The following is a 20,144-nucleotide window of genomic DNA, read 5'->3' on the forward strand; positions in this document are numbered from 1 at the left end:
CCATTAGGGGTGACCCTGGCTCCGGAAGTTGAATCTCTCTCTGAAGAAGGACAGAGTGGCCACACGCGGTTCCTGGGATCCAGCCTCTAACCCTCGGAACAATTGTGAGAAAATGCCCAGGGGCAGTTCCCTGTGCTCTCAGAGGCCCTCTTCCAGCACAAGGCCAGCGCCACAGCCAATCATCCTTCAGCAGGTGATATTTTGTCCCAGGCCTGACTAGGTGAGCCAGTCGTTCCTCACAAAACACGCTGAGAGCATCCCCTGGAATTCCCATGGGCTCCCTGGCCTCTCACACCCTGCTGTGTGTCTTGACTTGAGATGGCGGGCACCTCAAAGACAGGGCACACAGGGAAGCATCCGGGTCCCTGGGGACTCCAACAATGCTTCGAGCTGATACCAGGGGAGGAGAGGGTCAGCCTTGGGGCCGGTGGGGGGGTGCGGGGGCAGAGAGCAGGTGCCTTCGTTGGATTCTCAGTCTGCAATTTGCAGACTGAGACCATGAGCACAGCACCCTTCCTCAGAGAAATGATCATAAGACCTACCCCACTGAATGTGGCAGCTGTAACGGGAGACATTTGTACATTTATTCACCGAATCCTTGAGAACTCACTGTACGTTGAGCCCTGGAAGTGCAAGTGTTTTGAAGTCAGAAGAGCAGCACATTGGCTGGAGGAAAGAGGTGGTCTTATCTTAAGAAGCAGAGCTCTGGCGGGTAGACAGGGGAGAGGCCAGGAGGTCCTGCCATCCTCCGGGAACATGTGCCCAGGCAGCAAGAAGCGCAGGAACTGAGGGCCTCCCACATCACTGGGGCACCAGGTAGCTTCTGCCTACAGGGACCACTGCTTGTTGCGCCTTCAGGTAACTTCTCTGCTGTCAGCCCCTGAGATCCCAGATTGCGCTGGAAGAAATAAAAATATTTCAATAGAAAACATAGGTCATTGACATCTTTTGAGAAGGTTGTTCAGAGAGCCAGCAAACAGAAGATTCCCTGAAGAGCTGTCTTTCGTGGGGGAGATTTGCATCTGCAGAGATGCAATCAGGCCTTCTCCAAGACCTTCCCTTGTCCAGATCTAGGAAAGATTAACCAAGAGTCTGACATGTTTAAAGGTCTAAAAAAGGATTATCCCCGTAATCCCAGCACTTTGGGAGGCCGAGATGAGCAGATCATCTGAGGTCAGGAGATTGAGACCAGCCTGGCCAACATGGTGAAACCCATCTCTACTAAAGATATAAAAATTAGCCAGGCATGGTGACACATGCCTGTAATCTCAGCTACTCAGTAGGCTGAGGCAGGAGAATCACTGGAACCCGGGAGGCGGAGGTTGCAGTGAGCTGAGATGGCACCACTGCACTCCAGACTGGGCGACAGAGCAAGTCTCCATCTTAAAAAAAAAAAAAAAAAAAAAAAAAAAAAAAAAAAAAAAAAAAAAAGAATTATCATCTGTTCTCTTTGAGGGCTGCTATCTGTGGGATTTCCTCTGCATAACAAGATCACCTTTGTTAGCCACGACTCCCTTTCTTCCCCCCAAATAACCTATCTTGCCTCCATAACCTGCTGTTCCACCATAGTCTGGTTTGGGCCATGCTCTGAGCCCCCATTCTCTCTGTAACTGTAGGATGGGATGTAAGCTTCTATACCTCAATGCAGATGGTGGGGTAATCACTCCACGGTTCTCCCCCATGCGCATATTGATCTGTATGCCTTTATTCCAATTAATCTCCTTTTGTGAGTTGATTTTTCAGCAAACCTTCAGAGGAAGAAGGGGGATTTTTTTCTTTGTCCCCTACAGCATTCTGTCCCTCAGAGCACCCCCTGAACCTGCCTCAGTAAGACCAGCATGTGGAAAGGGGAGAAATCTAGTACACAGCCTCATTCAGTGCCTGTCCCTCCAGCCTGAGCCACCAGCCCCGGAGAGGCCCGGGCCACCAGGGGATGCATACCTGAGAGCTGCCTCCGGGGCGGCATCCATGTTTCCTATACCCCTGAGATGGCTCACCAGGGAGCCCATGGCTGAAATCTGAAGACAATCAGGTCTGAAGACTTCCTGCTTTCCCAGAACACCACCAAGAGATGGCCACGTCCTCAGGTTCTGCATCAGACTGAAGGAAGCTCAAGGATGTTGGTGATTCCAGTGCTGGCAGAGATCATGGCTTGCTCCAGGCGTCTCTCCCCACTTCACAGTGGCCAGCGAGACACCTTGCATGTGGCTCACCAGAAGAAGCCACGTTTTCTCTAGAGGCGGCATACACATCTGGAACGCGTCTCCCTCCCAAGGAATTTGTGGTGCCTTCACAGGAGGGTGTGTGGCTGCCAAAGGGCATCAGACTGGACTCTGAAGCACCCTGCTGTCCTCAGGCCAAGACCACTTTCCAGCACAATGAAGCTAGAACTAGGCTCTGAAAATGTCACATCAACCCTTTGCATGAATCGGAAGACTGAGCCCCTCGTCTTCACAACTCACTGGCTCTATGACTTTGGAAGAAGCTCTGAACCTCTTGGTGTCTCCAATTCATCATCCATAAAAGGAGTATCATAACACTGTACTTGCAGGGATCAAAACAGAGTCCCAGGCATGAAAATACTGTGAAGTACAAGAGCTATGAATGTCAATTGCTAATAGTTGTATGTGAACCACCTTGAGGGAAGGAGGAGAGAAGGTGAAGGGTGCTTTCACCTATTTACAATCCTGAATTCCTGGACTCTGGGCTGGTGTTTGTATTTTCCAGCTAGCCCAAGATGACATGTTCACTTATGACCATTTGGTCTCTAAAAATGAACTCCCATCTGGAATCCAAGACCGTGGCTGGCCTGAACTCTGGACCCACATCACACTTCCAAGAAGGAAGCTAGAGTGGCCCCTAGGGAACAGCCTGTGTCAGGACAGTCACTTTAAACACCCCTGCTCTCTACATTTAGAGCCTGGAAAAACTTAGTCGAAACCTAAAATGAACTGAACCTTGGCCCGTGGATGTTTCCAAGTAAATTGAAACCCTCATCCACACCATTAGCCCAGTGCTTCTGCAACCTAGTGATGCTTACCCACTGTGACTCCTCGCGTCAGTATACCCCGGGATGTGTGGAGGCGTTTAAAGGGCTGATGACTTAGAGCTGGTGGTGACATTTTGGAACCTATGGTGCCAGCCACCATTAGGGAAATCCTACACTGATTCATTGGCTCTTCTAGGTAAGGGTTTCAAGAAGCAAGGTCTTCTTGGTAGGAATCTAAGAGAAGAGGCATCCTGGTTGTGTTGGACAGAACATGGTCTTTGCAGCCAGACAAATCTTGATTTAGTACGGACTCCAGAATGTCTGTGTAGACAGGATTTGGGGCAGCAATAATCTCAATGAAAGGGAGATGACAGGGAAGCACATATTGAAGCTACATTTTTGCCTCCTGTAGGCTCTTCCGACTTAGATTGTGTGTTTATTTGGGATAATTGTGGAGAAGGGGGCTGCTACAGATGATGGTTACAACGAAAGCCTCCCAAACCACCCCTTGATAATGACACTGTCTGGATTCAAATCAGCATCTACCACTTACCGTCTATGTGACCTTGGGCGAGTAACTTAGCATCTCCGAGCTACTGTTTTCTTATTTGTAAAATGAGAAGAATAATTCCACTCTGGCAGGGCTTTTGTGGGGGATTACATTGGATAACATATGGGAAAGGGCTTAGCACAATGCAGGCATATAATAGGCTCTCAACATATGGAAGTCTCTTTCCTTCTTTCCATCGCTGGTCCCCAGATGTCTCAGGATCCTAATGAAGTATCCAGATGAGGACTGAGATCTAGAAAGTTCTTTTTTTTTAAGTTAGATATTTGTGGGGGTTTGCTTTTGGATTTTGTTGCCCACCGTTAAGTGTATTTCAAGGGGACACTACATCTGCCCTGCACATTGTAAGTCCAGAATACCATGCAGCTGGCCTACTTGAAAGGGAGCCTTCACAGGCTGAACTACACAGGCAGCACCAGTCCTGAGGATGAAAAAGCCACCATAGCAAATGAATTAGGTCAGCGGCTTTCCTAAAGTCTAGAGGCAGCAGAATCTTCCTACAGTGGGATTTTTTAATGGTTTTTTTCTCCTGGTTTTTGTAGTGTGTGTGTGTGTGTTTCCTTTCTCACTGAACTCCTGGAGGCTGGACAAGACACAGGATGATAGAATAGAAGGAAAAAGAAGGAGACATTATAAGTACATGCCCCAGTACCAAGTTCTTTGCAAGGAATCTCTGGAGACGACTGGTGGAACTCATGGGGTTGGCAGAAAACTACTGACTTTGCATGGCCAACACTCATTGGTTCATTCATGCATTCAGGAAGCATTTGCTGAGGGAGGCTGACAGCTCCCTGGGAGATGTTAATACATGACATAGCCCCAGTCCCTACATTCTAATGAGTTGTTCCAAATAACAAGTGTTGGGACTCAGAAAACAATACCCCAAAAGGAAGGCTTAGCCTCAGAAGCAAAAGTTTTTCTCTGATCTTCTCCTGCCCTCCTATCTCTTGCCCCTCATTCTCCCCGAGGCCAGCCATAGAAACCAGAATCCCTCTTCCCCAAGGCGGATATAAAAACCAGAACCCCTTTTCCCCAAAGCCAGCCATAAAACCTAAAATACAACTCTAGCTTTCCTTCCACCTTTCTGTGTAAAAACTGGCCATAAAGACCTCATCTAACCTATCTTATTTGACTGTAGGTCATAAGACCCCCACTCCAGAAAGGATCCTGTCCCATACCCAGAAGGAAGGAATGCGGCATGGATGCCTGGAAGAATCTAGGCAGACAGGCCTTGCTGCGCTTTCTACTCAGTCTAGTCTAGCATTCCATCAGACCCTTTTTGTCCAGTCATATTTCTATGTGACTATCCATACTGTCTTGAACCTAAGTGTAAAAGTGGACAATTTCCCCTCTATCTTTGGGTCTTCATTCTGAAGGCTCCTGTGTATACACATTAAATAAATGTGTATGCCTTTTTTCCTATTAATCAATCTTCTTCATGTCAGTGATTTTCCAGTGAACCTTTGGGAAGAAATGCTGGCTCAATTAGAAATAGAAATTTGCAAGCCAGGTGCGGTGGCTCACGCCTGGAATCCTAGCACTTTGGGAAGCCAAGGTCAGGATCACCTGAAGTCAGGAGTTTGAGACCAGCCTGGCCAACATGGTGAAACCCTGTCTCTACCAAATATACAAAATTAGCCAGGCTTGGTGTTGCCTGCCTGTAGTCCCCACTACTCAGGAGACTGAGACAGGAGAATCGCTTGAACCCGGGAGGCAGAGGTTGCAGTGAGCCAAGATCACACCACTGCACTCCAGCCTGGGTGACAAGACCAAAACTCCATCAAAAAAAAAAAAAAAGCAAGGAAAGAAAGAAAGAAAAAAGAAGGGAAGGAAGGAAAGAAGGAAGGAAGGAAGGAAGAAAGAAAAGAAAAGAAAAGAAAAGAAAAGAAAAGAAAAGAAAAAAGAAAAGAAAAGAAAGAAAAGAAAAGAAAAGAAAAAAATAAATTTGCAAAAAGATCCGCTATTAGACCTAGGCCAGTGGATCATGAAGCCACACACACCACACTTTGTTTCCTTGCAGGGATCCAGTCCCTCCCCTGAGAATGCAGGCTCCTGACTTCTGGTCTCCCACACCCTCGGTGCTATGCAGTGTCAGCCCAGTATCTGGCTCACAGCAGTCCTAGTGAGCATCTCTTGGGGAGTCCCCTTTACCACCTGTGTATTACAGCTTCCCAAGGATTAGGAGTAAGGGGAAGAAGCCATTTAAACAAAATTGCTTTTGAAGCACAGATGGGTTCACAATACAGAAAAAATGGTGCTTAGCAAGAAATGTTTAGGATTTGGCAGATTCTGAAGTTCATTTCACATTGTTTGATGCTTTAAACCAGCTGCTTCTCCCATTCCCTAAACATCAGCTCCCAAGAGAGCAAGTCAGCCTAGGACTCTCCAGGCAATGATATTTCCTTGGATAATATGCAACCTTTTCTGGAAGGTCTGTTCCATCAGCACTCAGCTCAGCACCCATCCAGAGCATCTCACTTCCCTTCTCACCATGGTTTCCCTAACAATGGATTCCACACGCACATACGGCTATAGAGGGTCAGTTCAACTGAGCGTGTTTCCCAGCAATTGACACAATAGATTCCTCTCTGGGGAGCGAAGGAGTCTACTTACCTGGGATTCCCCTTGTCTCTACTGAGCCACTGGGGGCCATGGTACAAGCAGCCAATCCTAAGGACCCTCCTGCTCTCCTCTTGTTGTCCAGCTTGTTTTCTTAGTATGCGCACTACTTGATTTATGGTGCCTGGAGAACCTCAAGCCAACAAGATGCTTGCTCCTGACTTCTCTGATTCCAGGGTTCCTTACTTCCTAGTCTCCACCCCTGGTTCATAAGCAGCTTGAAGGAAGACACAACCAAGACCCTACCTTTGCAACAGCTGTGAAATGGGATCAGAGAATTCCGGTAAAAGTTTGTCAAGCTAAGTGGGATGTATCCAAGGCTTCGTAAGAAAGGAGGCTGGATCTAGCTCCAGAGCCACTTCTGGAGGCTTGGATAAGAATGGGAAAAGTAAGCCTCCCATTTGCAATTCGCAGACCCATGCTGTGTGGTCTTAAAGCCTCAGGATCAGTTAGGAGGCCCCAGGTCAAAATCCTGGCTGAAACTGTGGGCCCAAACACATAGGCTTTCATTATGGTACAAAAAAAAAATGTGTCAAGTGTAGTGGGTGTTTGTTTTGGTTTTCAGAATATTAATATGGTTTAATACCATTGTCTGGAGGGTTTAGAAGAATGACATACATTGCAGAGTTCCTGGCACCTAGCAGAAACTCAATAAATGGTAGCTATTGAATTTCCCCCTTGTCTGTACAGCAGTAAGTCCAGACCTGCCCACTCTGGGCCTGCCTCCTTGGGAGCCTGAAGCATTTTGCAGAGGAGCTGCCCTTCCCCCGACTCAGTCACCTCAGTGTTGGTTGTGCCCCCCCGCACCTGTAACTGGGTCATCTCTTACTTATCGCCCGCACTCAGCAGAAGAAATCAAATGAGTGTTAATTGAGAGCTGGGTTCGTCAAAACTACTGCTCTTTTCTGGTGTGTTTTATTTAAGTGTAAGCCAATCCAAGCTTACCATGGGGTTTCTGTGTAACTGAGAGTTCCCAGTGCTTTGTGGCAGGGCTCGCATTCATTCCAGACATAGCATAATGAACCACAATCTCACATTACCTAATCACATGGAGGCAGCGCGGATCACAATGCCGCATTTGGCATTTCTGTGGTGCGCTCCATCTGAGGAGCTCAAAGGGCTTAAAGAAAACCCTTTCTTTATTTGGGAAGTATTATTATCTGGGTTTTACAGAGAGAGATACCTAGAGGTGAAGTGACCTGCTTTAAGACCACACAGCACGACGTCTCTGGGCTGAGATGGAGCCCAAGCAGCTGACAGGCGCTCCTTGGCCAGACATCACAGGCTCAAAACAGAAAGCTGCTCCCACAGAGCCTGTCCTCACCAGGCCCCGTGGGGGACTCACGGAGGAGACCGAACCCAATAGCAGAGACGAAGACAGAGGGAATTTAAAAGCATCAGCCAGAGGAAAGGTGTGCAAAGACCTGGCTCAGCCTCAAGAGAGCTGACTGCAGGATGAGACTTGCTCAGATAGAACATGAAGCCATGAACTCTGTTCAGCAGATATTTCTCCAGCTTTCTTCATGGATTGACCCCCAGAGAGAATCCTTTTATCACCTTGCTTCTCTGTGACAACATTATTTTTAGTAATAGCCATGAAACGAAACAACAAAAATAATGGATAGAAGAGGAAAGCAGTGATATTTCTCTCTTACTGACCCTTCTGTGGATGGTTATGCCCATAAAATAGAAAAATAAATAATACAGTAAATATTACAGTACCAAAAAATTAGTAGATTAGCACTTTTAACTACATTTTTGTAGTTAACTTTTTTTTTTTAAAGGAAATACGCTTAGAGTTAAATATTGGTCTATTGTAGTCATGAGGAATGACATCATGGTCTCTGTTTTTAACACTTAACTACTTTAATTTGTCCATGACCTAGAAGAAAAATTGATCTTCATAGTTTCATGTTCATTGAGCAGTTGTCCATCTACTTTTGTTCCTGGTTAATCACAGAACACTGTTTACTGATTTTAATTTTGAAAAGCGTCTTTCACATAAAGCAATAGACACATAAATTGTTACAAAAAATCTTAAGCAACAGAATATGTATGGCAAAGATTCATCAAAGTCCAATTTCACAATAAATTCTATAAATTGCAATAGTGCCCACATCTCTGTTTCTCCAGGATCGATTTTGTTGTCTTTCAAATGTCTCCATGGCTGAAAATTATGAACACAAATAAAAATGCCAAGTGATTACACAGATTGGCAGAACTGGAGTAACTCAAGTTTTATATAAAGACACACAGAGAGACAATATCGTGGTAAAATATACAAAAATAAAGCAAATTGAGAGCTTGGGAAGAGAAGTAAGAGGGAGAAGCCAAGCCAGGGAGGGAAAGGCACCTTCAGTTATCTGCACACTGACATAGTTGCTATGGTTGGACCGTAAAGTTAGCTCAACAGTCCAGGCTTCCTGGCACCCGAAGAAAAAAGGGAGATGGGGCCAGTCATGCCATTCATATTGACGGAAAAGCAGCCACTTTGGGAGAGCCCGAAGAACAGCCTGGTGAACCCATGTGGAGGCTTCCATGCAGGGGCTGGCCGAGCCCACGGAGGGATGTCAGGAGCTACAGCACACTTGGATTCTATTTGTTTTCATTTTGGTTTCAGACCAGGAGAAGGTGACCTTGAAAAAGAGGTCCCAGATGCCCTGTGAACAACCGTTAGAAAGTAAGTGATTTAAAAGATTAATTTTACTAAGAAACTAGAAAATTTGTGTTCAACACATTTTAGAACTGAGATTAGGTAAATGGCAATGCTTGACTAGATCCAGAATAATGAAGATGATGAAGAAGAGAGCTGGAGAGCAAGAGGGCTTCACATTCCTTTTCAACTCTGCATTTGGCGGCCTGTACTCCAACATGGCAGCTCCCCCTGCCACGCAGCGGTGTGGGCTCTGGAGTCTGGGTGTGCACAGACCTGTGCCTAAATCCTGGTTCCAGGGGATGTCCCCTGGTGGTAAGGATAGATTGAGTTATCAGACGCCCTTCGTGCCAAGAACACTGGATAATGTGGACAAAACATCTTTTTCAAATCTATTTGAAGGCATCAAAAACCACCAGCTAATAGTAGCCTGTAGTCCCTGCTACTCAGGAGGCTGAGGTGGGAGGGTCACTTGAGCCCAGGAGTTTGAGGCCAGCCTGAGCAACATAGCAAGACCTCTGTCTCCTAAATAAATGAATAAGAATTTAAAAAAAAAAAAAAAAACTACTAACGCAATGAGAAACTAAGGCACTAAGATCCCGGAAACAAGGCGTGAGCGGAGAGGTGCCAGCCACTTTTCTCCTTGGCGTGCATGGATTCCCCAGCAGTGGCTCGGAAACTGAGAAGTTGAGCAGAGTTGCCAGGACTCTCATGGGGCTGAGGCACAGAAAGGAATTCAGAGCCCAGCAAGGAGGAAGAGCTGGGTTAAATACCACTGGTCTTCTGTTGAGACTCCCCACAAAGGGGTGATCCAGGAAGAACTCAGCCTGCAGAAAGCCTGAACCATCTTTAAAGAGCTCAGTTCTTGGTCGGATTAAGGTGATGTAAAATGAACTAATACATATCTAAACAACCCATGAGTCAAAATAAGAATTACCGTGGAAATTAGGAAATATTTCAATAAAAAGGTAATAAAACTAAAACATATCAAAATGTAAGGGATGCAGCCAAAGAATGCTTAAGAGAAATTTAAAACCTTGAATGCTTTACAAGAAAAGAAGAAAAGATGAAGAAACAATGAACTAAGTTTCCATCTCAAGATTTTAATTAAAAAAACAGCATATTAAATCCTAAGATAGCATAAGAATGGAAATAATAAATAGCAGGAATTAATAAAGTAGAAAACAATAATACAACAAAGAAAACCAACAAAGTGAAAAAATAAAAATAAAAACAAGTCTTTAAAAAAGACTAATACAGGGACAGGTGCTGTGGCTCATGCCTGTAATCCCAGCACTTTGGGAGGCCAAAGTGGGGCGGATCACCTGAGGTCAGGAGTTTGAGACCAGCCTGACCGACATGGAGAAATCTGCTAAAAAAACAAAAAAGTAGCCAGGCATGATGGCAGGCGCCTGTAATCCCAGCTACCTGGGAGGCTGAGGCAGGAGAATCGTTTGAACCTGGGAGGCTGAGGTTGCAGTGAACCAAGATCACGCCATTGCACTCCAGCCTGGGCAACAAGAGCGAAACTCCATCTCAAACAAACAAACAAACAACAAAAGAGATTAATACAACCGATAAGCCCATAAGATTAATTTTTTTTAAGAAGAGTCCCAAATATTATCAGGAATGGAAAGGAAGCCCTAACAATAGAATCTGTGGCTCCTAAATAAGACAAAAAGCTGTTCAGAACCAATTTATGATGATAAATGTTTAAATCTAGGTGAAATAGACAAATTCTTTGGAAAACACAACTTATTAAAACTGACCCAAATAAAAAAAGAATATCTGATATAATAGCCTTGTACCTATTAAAGAAATAAAATCCATAATGAAAAACCTTTCCACCAAAACAAAAACAAAAACAAACCTCCAGGCCCAGATGGCTTCACCAGTGAATTCTTCAAAACCTTTAAAGATGAAATAACATCAGTCTTTACAAAAGCTCTTCTAAAAAATAAAAATGACTTCTTGACTCATTTTTGAGAGCTTTATAACCTTAATACCTGACAAGGAAAGAAAATGGTGATTTCTTTCTCCTGAACATGGATGCTAATCCTAAACAAAATGTTATCAAACTGAATTCAGCAATATATAAACAGGACAATACATCACAAACAAGATGATATTTTTTTCCAGAAATGCAAGATTATTTCAGTGTTCGGAAATCAGTCTATGTAATTTACCACAGTAACAGAATAAAGAAGAAAATCGTTGATCAGCTCAATAGATTCAGAAAAGGCATTTGATAAAATTCAACCCCTGGCGATAGTAAAAGGAAAAAAGAAGTATTTAGGAAAGTATGACTAAAAGGGAAATGCCTTAACATGATAGAGTATCTACAAAAAAACCCTCCAGCAAATATCATATAAATGTTCAAATATTGATACTTTTCCCCTAATACTGAGAATAAAAGAAAGATGCTTCCTATCTATCACCACTTCTATTCATTATTGTATTGGAGGTCCTAGCCTTTGCAGTAAAGCAAGAAAACAAATAAAATTTTAAGAAATAGAAAGAAAAAAAACTGCCATTATTGACAGACTATATCATTGCATATGCAGAAAATACAAAATAATTTATAGAAAAACTAACAGAATTAATAAGTAAATTCAGCAAGGTTCTTGGATTGAAATATCAATATACAAAGTCAGTTGTACTTATATATAACAGAAACAAAAACAGAATCAAAAAAGAAAACATTGAAAAATTGGACTACATTAAAATTTGAGTCTTCTTTTCACCAAAAGATACTATTAAGAATGAAAAGAAAAGCCATAGAGAAGACATTTACAATCCATAGAAATGACAAATGATTCATAACCGGAAAATATAAAGAACTCCTACAAATCACCTGGAAAGACAGAAAACCCAGTAGAAAAACAGGCAAGAGACCTGAATAAGCCAGTAGATATCCAAATGGCCAATAGCATTTGAAAAGCTGCTCAATTTCATTAGTCATCAGGGAAATGCAAACTGAAACACATTCATCAGGATGGCAAAAGTAAAAAGAGACCAACAGTATCAAGTGTTGGTGAGGATGTGGATCCCCCAGGACTCTCATAGCTGAAAGTGAACTGGTACAGCCACTTTGCAAAACTATGTAAACAGTATCTACTAAAGCTGAAAATCCACACACCTTATGACCCATCAATTACATTTCTTGGTATATCCTATGCCGAAATATGTACACCAAGACACATGTACAGGTGACCCTTGAGCAACATGGGTTTGAACTGCGTGGGTCCACTTATACACAGATTTTCCTCCACCTCTGCCATCCCTGAGACAAGACCAATCCCTCCTCTTCCTCCTCCTCGTCAGCCTACTCAATGTGAAGATGGTGAGGATGAAGACCTTTATGATGATTCACTTTTACTTAATGAATAGTAAATATATTTTCTCATTCTTATAATTTTCTTAAAAGTATTTTCTATTTTCTAGCTCACTTTACTGTAAGAATACAGTATATACATTCAAAATATGTGTTAATCAATTATTTATGTCATCAGTAAGGGTTCTGGTCAATAGTAAGCTATTAGTAGTTAAGTTTGGGAGAGCCAAAAGTTATACATGAATTTTTTACTGCTCCGACCCTCATTGTTCAAGGGTCAACTATCCAAGATCATTCCAAGTAGCATTATTTGTCATGGGGCAAAATTAAAATCTACTCAAATAACCAGCAAAATGAAAAATGTATAAATAAATTGTGATACATTCATACTATGAACATCTTTATAGTGTTAAAAATGACCAAACTACTTGTACATGAATGACATTAGATCAACATTACAGATGTCATACTGAGTGGAGAAAAAAGTCAGACAAAAAGAACATATAATGTAGAATTCTGTTTTTATAAAATTCACAAACTAGCCATCTAATACTCGGTGACAAAAATGGTCACCATTGGGGAAGAGGAGGTTATTGGAGAGGGTCTGGGATTTTTCTGAGGCTGGTAATAGTCTAGCTCTTGATTTGGGTGGATGGTTACACAGGTATGTTCACTTTTATGATAACCCACTTAGTTGTACACTATGCCTGTCTTTATGTACATAATACTTCAATTTTTTAAAGTTTATTTACTAGCTAGCTGTGTGATAGTGGCAAGGTACTTAACCAGCAGAAGTCTCTGACCTCATCCATAAAACTGATATAAACATGACTGCTTCAAAGGATTGCTCTGAAATATAAATGAAATAATGTAGGTGAAAAGCTTAGCACAGGTCCTGGCTGATAAACAATAGTACTTTATAATCACCATTGAGGAGTTTATTTTATTGTTTATTTCCGGGATTATCAGGGTTTGGCCACTTGCAGACAGCAGCCAGGTCTCTTCCTGGCACACCTGTCAGCAGCAAACCTGAGATTTTTCAAGGCCTCCTGGGATACCAGCCTCAGGCTGTGTTTAGGGCTTGGTGTGGTGGCTCACGCCTTTAATACTAGCACTTTGGGAGACCGAGGTGGGCAGATCACTTGAGGTCAGGAGTTTGAGACCAGCCTGGCCAACATGGTGAAACCCCGTCTCTACTAAAAATACAAAAATTAGCCAGAAATCTCTTGAACCCAGGAGGCAGAGGTTGCAGTGAGTGGAGATGGTACCACTGCACTCCAGCTTGGACAACAGAGCAAGACTCCATCTCAAGAAAAAAAGAAAAAGAAAAAAACCGTGTTTAGAGGCCCCCGGTCCTCACACTTGCAGAGGCTCCCCTCCTAATGCCAAGAGTGTTGGGGGATCGAACTGCTTGGAGATGGAGATTGAGCTTCTGTTGTCCAGACAAGTTCATGCCTCTGTGACCCCCCCCTTCCCAGAGGCAGGCCTTTAGGATGCTGAGATTGAGCTTCTGTTGTCCAGACAAGCTCATGCCTCTAGACCCTGCTTCCCAGAGGCAGGCCTTTAGGGTGCCCCAAGGCAGGAAAATGCAATCATGTGATCCAGAGGAAGTCCCATAGAGCTGAGGCATCCCTGAGAGAGGGAGGGAGTTCAGGCACCCGCCCCTGCAGCCCCTCAGCCTCAGAGAAGGGAGAAGGGAGAGTGTCCAAGGCAAACCTGACCTGAGGCTTTGGGTGGCAGGGGAGTGCATAATGAATGCCTCGCTGGAGCACCTCAGTGATAATGTGGGTATTGTGGGGGCATCCCGAGTGGCACACAGACTCCATTCATCCTGTGCACAAACAGGACTCTGCAGACCCAGCTGCTTCTCTGGAAGCCATGGGAGGTTATTAAATATGAGCTACAGCTGCTTTTTTGCCAATTCACATTTTGTAAAGGCTCATGTTGTTTTTGCTCTTGCCTTTTTGACTTAGAGCCCCTGTCTTGGACTTGGCTTTGTCCAGGTATTTCTTCATTTTGAGAGACAGCATCTTCAAATGCAGACATTGCCCAAATCTTTCCTGATTATAAAAATCACCTGGGTTTCTGTTAAAAATACAGATTTCTGGGCCTCAACCCAGACACGCTAAATGCAATGTCTAAGACTGGGGCTCTAGGAACTTATAGTTTTAAAAAGAGTACCAGGTGATTCTTATAATTATTCAAATTGGGAAACCATCCTTCAACCTGGTTCCTTCAAATTCCAGGGAATCTCCTCTGGTAACTGTTCCCATTTGGGCTCCCTTTACTTTCTTCCATTTTTTTTTTTTTAACTCAAATTTCTCTTTTTCTATGCAATAAGCTCTTCATAGTAGTTCCACGTTCTATCCACCCCAAGTTTCTTACCCTTTCCTTTTGTTCAGGCTCAACACCTCAAACTCTAAAGCTGTGGTACCCTCTCTGCAATTCCCATGATGCTGAGATAATGCCCCAAGCCATGGCTTCTCACTCCTATGGGGATTGGGGGCAGGAGGAAATCTGGCTAAATGACATATTATTTAACTCAAATTAAGGTGGATTTCTTTTGAAAACTATCCAATGATTGATAACACCCAGAGGTAACTCAAAGCCGTTCTGCAAAATCACTACAAACTTCCAAAACAGTATTTTGAGAGTTACAAGCACTACCAATAACCTTGCCTTAAAACACCACAATATGCCATTTAAGAGTATTTTTTCTGGTCAGTATTTCTCCATAATCCTTTATCCAGGGGCCACTGCTCAGAATTTGGAGTTAGAACATCTGAGTCTTGTCTGAGTTCTGATTTCAATGTGTGGTAGGAGATATCTCCATCTAATTGGGTTTCTTCATATTTCGTATACACTGATGATAATTTCATATACACTGATGATAATGGCTTACCTGTTTTCCAGAGTTCTTGATCATGTCGTGGGGCTGTAGAAAGAGCCCAGAGCGTGGATGACAGGGGTTTCATTGAATGAATGAATGAGTGACTGAATGAATGAGGTAATGGGTGCCACATCAAGAAAGGCAGTTTTACTAAGAATAATTAGGAACAAATGTTGGATCTTTTTTAAAAAAATAAATCCCATAAGGTGTGAGGCTGAGATCCTGTGAAGTGGTGCCGAATTTGGAGGCAGAGTCCTGCCAGGAGAATGTTCTTCTCTGCTGGTGTCTGTGCTGACCCTCTGCTCAATCTGCTAGTTGCCCAAAAAGACACGTTGGTGATCTTCACTTGAGTTTCTGCTTCTTTTGTCTTTCAGAGTATTGTTGGATCAGGGCTGCCAGGAAGCAGAATTTGATGACAGCTTTTGGGTTTGACTTGCCAGTGAGCACGTTTGGCTGGGTGTAGGGCTTCCGTGGTGTAGCTGGCCCATGGCCTTGAATTTCTTCCAGTGGGCCCACTGCATTTCCCAAATGGACTCTTGCAAAGGGCATCTTACAAGTCAGAGAGTGTGTGTAAGTGTACGTGCATGCACATGTAGAGAACAGACCTCCTCTTGGATGTCCGGCCTTTAAAACGACATCAAATCATCCTCGTCACCATCTGCAAATATGCCTTGAGCACTCAGTATATGCAAAGCACCGTTCTAGATATTATGAGGAATGCAACAAAATAGAGTTCCTTCCATGGCTTTCAGAAATTTATAGACTCGGTTAGGCAGATAAAATCAATAATATCCCATTTATATCAGTCTGGTTTCTTGGTTGCATGCCTTAGAAATCAACTCTGGTTAAGCTGTATTCCAGGTGGGAGGACCTGATAAGCCCTCTTCCAGGTGGCACCAGATGTATGTATCCAGAATGGAGCTTGAGGAAGTGAATCATGCCTGGAAAAGGGTGTGTCTAAGGACCCAAGAGGGAAAGTGTGCACTCGCAGAATATGACTACAAAAAAATATGTAGAACAAATGCTCATCTTTGAAGAAGTGTGAAGGAGAGTGTTTTGACTAGTTGAAACTTATGGAGCTGAAAGAGCAATTTTAAGAGGATGCGAAGGAACTGTTCACGTATGACCCCCTCACTGCCCAGAAATCACAGATGCAAGCCCCCACTGGACACAGAGGGCAGGGTGGGGCCCAATGAGCAGGATGGCACTGATGATGATGGTTGAGAGCCTGGCCTCTGAGAGCAGAAATGAGTGTGCCTGCAAAAGAACTCCTTGCCCTTCAGCAAGAAAGGCACATGGTGCCAGCAGAAAAAGAGGCAGGACCCAAAACGCTTACTTACCTCAATTCGTTGTTCTGTAAAATGAAGATTCTGGACCCTTCCCTGCCAAAAGCAAATGGATGTTGATAATAAACCAAGATAAGATTAGTATAGAGAAAAGGGTGCAGTATATGAGAAGACATGGGATCTGGTGCTACAACCATGATTTACTAGCTATGCGACCTTGGGCAAGGCATTTAACTTTTCCAAGTCTATTTGCTCTTCAATAAAATGAAGTTGGTAATTCTGGGTAGGTAGAGAACAATTGAGATACAATGCATGTGAAACTCTTTGACAAATTATATAAAGTGCACTGCCAGGGTAAGGAACTATGCTTATTCTCCTTTAAAAAATGCATGTGGATGTTGTTATCAGTAAACGACCATGAAGAGTTTTAAGGATGTTCGGCCGGGCGCGGTGGCCCACGCCTGTAATCCCAGCACTTTGGGAGGCCAAGGCCGGTGGATCATGAGGTCAGGAGATCAAGACCATCCTGGCTAACACGGTGAAACCCAGTCTCTACTAAAAACACAAAAAAGAATTAGCTGGCCATGGTGGCGGGCGCCTGTAGTCCCAGCTACTCGGGAGGCTGAGGTGGCAGAATGGTGTGAACCTGGAAGGAGGAGCTTGCAGTGAGCCGAGATCGCGTCACTGCACTCCAGCCTGGGCGACAGAGTGAGACTCATCTCAAAACAAACAAACAAACAAACAAACAATCAGAGTTTTAAGGATGTTCATCAATAACTGATTCCTACGGTTACTTCCCCTGCCTTACACTCAGGCTGCTGGCCTACCCTGCAAAGGTTCTGCTGGGACTCTGCTTGTCTCCAGAATAAGCCAGTGGCCAGAGAATCCTTTGAGCCAACCTCTCCGTGGGCCGGCATGGAGGTGATGAATCTTTTGTATTGACCCAGGAGAAAGCCCCAGCAACAAAGACCAATTTATTTTCTTAGTAAATCACAAAATGTTCCTGCAGCAAATTCCTGGGACTATGCAAAGCATCACAGTCCCTAGGAGGAAAAAGGGATGGGCTGCCTGGACGGGAGCTGAAATATGTCCATCTGGCCCAGGGAATGTCAGAGTGCACCCCAGCTGACCACATGAAACAGTCTCTATGAAATGCAGATGTTTGGTAGGGTTGGGTGTTGCTTCCCCCGCAATTTAAAAGCCTTTCATGCCTGCTGCTTACTTATAGACTTCTTCCTCCCCACACTGTTTGGCTCAGTGGGTTCGAGAGGGTGTTTTGGGGTGTTTGGATAACAGTGCATTGTGGTGGTGGGATTTATTAACAACAGCCATTCTTCCCCACTCCTGCAAGTTGCTGCCTCATAGTCCATATTTAATGTTTAAATTAAGGTGAATTAAAATTAATTTTGTTGGAGGAATTCTGCAGCTCCCGCTTGAGATAAGTGGAGACACCCTGGGGTGATATAAAATTGAGGTTAGGAATTGCTGCATTGGAGTGCTGTGCTAATGAGGTGAAGGTCAGGGGTTCAATTCCCTTGTGAAGGGAGCAGTTAATTTCACTCTCCCTCACGGCCTCAGATTCCACCCTTAACCCTGGCCATCTGCCTCCAAGAGGAGCCACTGGTCACCAGCAGGACAAAGTGAGATAGAGGACCAGATCTATACAAATCCATCAAACCCGTTAGAATGACAACCCAAAGCATGACCCATGAGTAATGTGCCAGGATTTTTAATTTTGCAAATGACAGCACTATTATATTATTACTTTATATTAGAGTAAACATGTACAAATATGGACAATACCAATGAATCAGATGTCATGGGTTCCAAATTCTCTAAGGCATTACTCTTACTTCCCAAGTGTTTAGCTAACTTGTTAGAGAGACAGCTTAATAAATGTATTGTGTATATCATGGTCACAGTCAATTCTTCTTGAGCCTTAAGAGGGAGAGAAGTGGTGTGGATCTCTCCAAACAAAAGATAGTACCAATATCACTCATATTTAGTTTGGAAAAGATGATACAATTTAGGGACAGCAGATTGCCCTCCTTAATTATGTTTTTCTTTAGCTAATAGTAATATTAGTTTGCATTCCCCTGAACATGTTGACGGATGGCAGAAAAGAGAGCCCAAATGCTCAAAAAGGGAGGAAGTTCAGGATTAAGCATTTGTCAGGGATAATCCACAGAATAGAGATAATCCAACTTCATTAATCAAAAGCTATCTCTATCCTACTAATTATCAACTTACCATTGTCCTTGTTAGAAAATAGAATTTTAGGCCGTTGAATTTTCTCTAATTCACTCCCCTCTCTTGTGTATCTAGGTTCTACTCCAGCCCAAAGGCCAACCTAAGTGACACCTTCTAGCCAGGGCAACACTGGCCTCCGCTGCCTGGGGCCTTCTGCAGCACTTATGGTATATGCTAAATTGTGGTTTAGAAAGTGTGTTTCCTTAGTGCTTGAGGGCAAGGCTCAAATTTTTAGGTTCCTATATGTCTCACAGAGCCTAGCACAACACTGAACATCCAATAGGTGCTTAATAATAGCATGCTCATTAACATTGACAGACTAATTACAGTAAGGAATAATGAAGAATTACCACCCTCTTGCCCCATTTGACAAAATTCAACACCCATTCATTAGAAAACCTCTCAGAAAAATAGGAATAGAGGGGGACTTCCTCAACTTACTAAAAAGCATCTATAAAACCCTATAGCTAACATTATACTTGATGATGAAAGGCTGAATGCTTTCCACGTAAGATCAAGGAGAGGCAAGAATGACCACTCTACCACTCCTATTCAACTTCCTACTGGAAGTTCTGCCAGTGCAATAAAATAAGAAAATAAAATAAAAGCAGATAGTTTGGAAAGGAAGAAATAAAACCATCCCTATGATTGTGAACATAGACAATCCCAAAGAATCTATAAAACAAACCAAAAAAAAAAACCCTAGAACTAATGAGTTCAGCAATGTTACAGAATAAGAGATAAACACATGAACTCAATTCTATTTCTGTATACTGCAATGAACAAGTGGACACCAAAATTACAAATGCAATGCCATTTGCAGTCACTCAAGAGAAATGAAATACGTAGGTGTAAATCTAACAAAATATGTGCAGTACTTGTGTGCTTAAAATTCCTACAAAAGAAACCAAATAAGAGCTAAAATACATGAAGAAGCATTACAAATTCATGAATCAGAAGACTCAACAGTAAAGATGTCAATTCTCCCCATCTTGATATATGGGTCAATATAACTGCAAACAAAATCCCAGCAATATTATTGCATAGATCTAGACAAGATTATCCTAAATGTATATAAAATGGCAGAGAAACTAGAATAGCTAAAACAATTTTGAAAAAGAAAAATGAAATGGGATAGATTAGTCTACCTAATGTCAAGATTTACTGTATAGCTACAGTGATCAAGGCTACATGCTATTAGTGAAGGGATAGATACACAGACCAGTGGAAGTTAATAGAAATAGGCCCACGCAAAATTTCCAACTGACTTTAGATAAGGGTACAAAGGCAATTCAATGGAGGAAAGATACCCTTTTCAACAAATGGTATGGAAGCAATCGATATTCATAAGCAAAAAATAAATAAATAAACCTCAATCTAGTCTCACGCTTCATGCAGAAATTAACTCCAAATTGATCATGGATTTATATGTAAAACATAAAACGATAAAACTTATAGAGAAAAAAAGAGAAAATATTTGAAAGCTAGGGCCAGGCAAGGAATTCTTAGACTTGATGCCAAAAGCATGAGCCATAAGAGGAAAAATGGTTAAATT

The 20,144-nt window shown here is 43.0% G+C and overlaps 1 long non-coding RNA gene across 1 annotated transcript, besides 4 other annotated features; it reads right to left on the bottom strand.

Annotated features, from left to right (window-relative positions):
- Positions 1-562: 562 nt before the first annotated feature.
- LOC124904557 (uncharacterized) lies at positions 563-15,734 on the bottom strand. Its single transcript, XR_007066954.1, has 3 exons — positions 15,066-15,734; positions 1,639-1,748; positions 563-898 (listed from the first exon to the last, which is right to left on the bottom strand). It is a non-coding gene; the product is annotated as an uncharacterized LOC124904557 (long non-coding RNA).
- Positions 727-925: a silencer, noted in NCBI's record as "fragment chr1:234915140-234915338 (GRCh37/hg19 assembly coordinates)". NCBI's record gives its function as "represses an EF-1alpha promoter that drives an FKBP-Casp9 reporter gene in an ReSE screen in K562 erythroleukemia cells {active_cell/tissue: K562}" and the evidence as "EXISTENCE:reporter gene assay evidence [ECO:0000049][PMID:32094911]".
- Positions 1,388-1,993: an enhancer, noted in NCBI's record as "OCT4-H3K27ac-H3K4me1 hESC enhancer chr1:234915801-234916406 (GRCh37/hg19 assembly coordinates)". NCBI's record gives its function as "activates a minimal SCP1, AML or CMV promoter by ChIP-STARR-seq in primed H9 embryonic stem cells {active_cell/tissue: H9 hESC(primed)}" and the evidence as "EXISTENCE:reporter gene assay evidence [ECO:0000049][PMID:30033119]".
- Positions 1,994-2,597: an enhancer, noted in NCBI's record as "H3K27ac-H3K4me1 hESC enhancer chr1:234916407-234917010 (GRCh37/hg19 assembly coordinates)". NCBI's record gives its function as "activates a minimal SCP1, AML or CMV promoter by ChIP-STARR-seq in naive H9 embryonic stem cells {active_cell/tissue: H9 hESC(naive)}" and the evidence as "EXISTENCE:reporter gene assay evidence [ECO:0000049][PMID:30033119]".
- Positions 6,586-7,331: an enhancer, noted in NCBI's record as "H3K27ac-H3K4me1 hESC enhancer chr1:234920999-234921744 (GRCh37/hg19 assembly coordinates)". NCBI's record gives its function as "activates a minimal SCP1, AML or CMV promoter by ChIP-STARR-seq in primed H9 embryonic stem cells {active_cell/tissue: H9 hESC(primed)}" and the evidence as "EXISTENCE:reporter gene assay evidence [ECO:0000049][PMID:30033119]".
- Positions 15,735-20,144: the final 4,410 nt, after the last annotated feature.

Source organism: Homo sapiens, chromosome 1 (assembly GCF_000001405.40).
Source record: "Homo sapiens chromosome 1, GRCh38.p14 Primary Assembly".
Taxonomy (NCBI): Eukaryota; Metazoa; Chordata; class Mammalia; order Primates; family Hominidae; genus Homo; species Homo sapiens.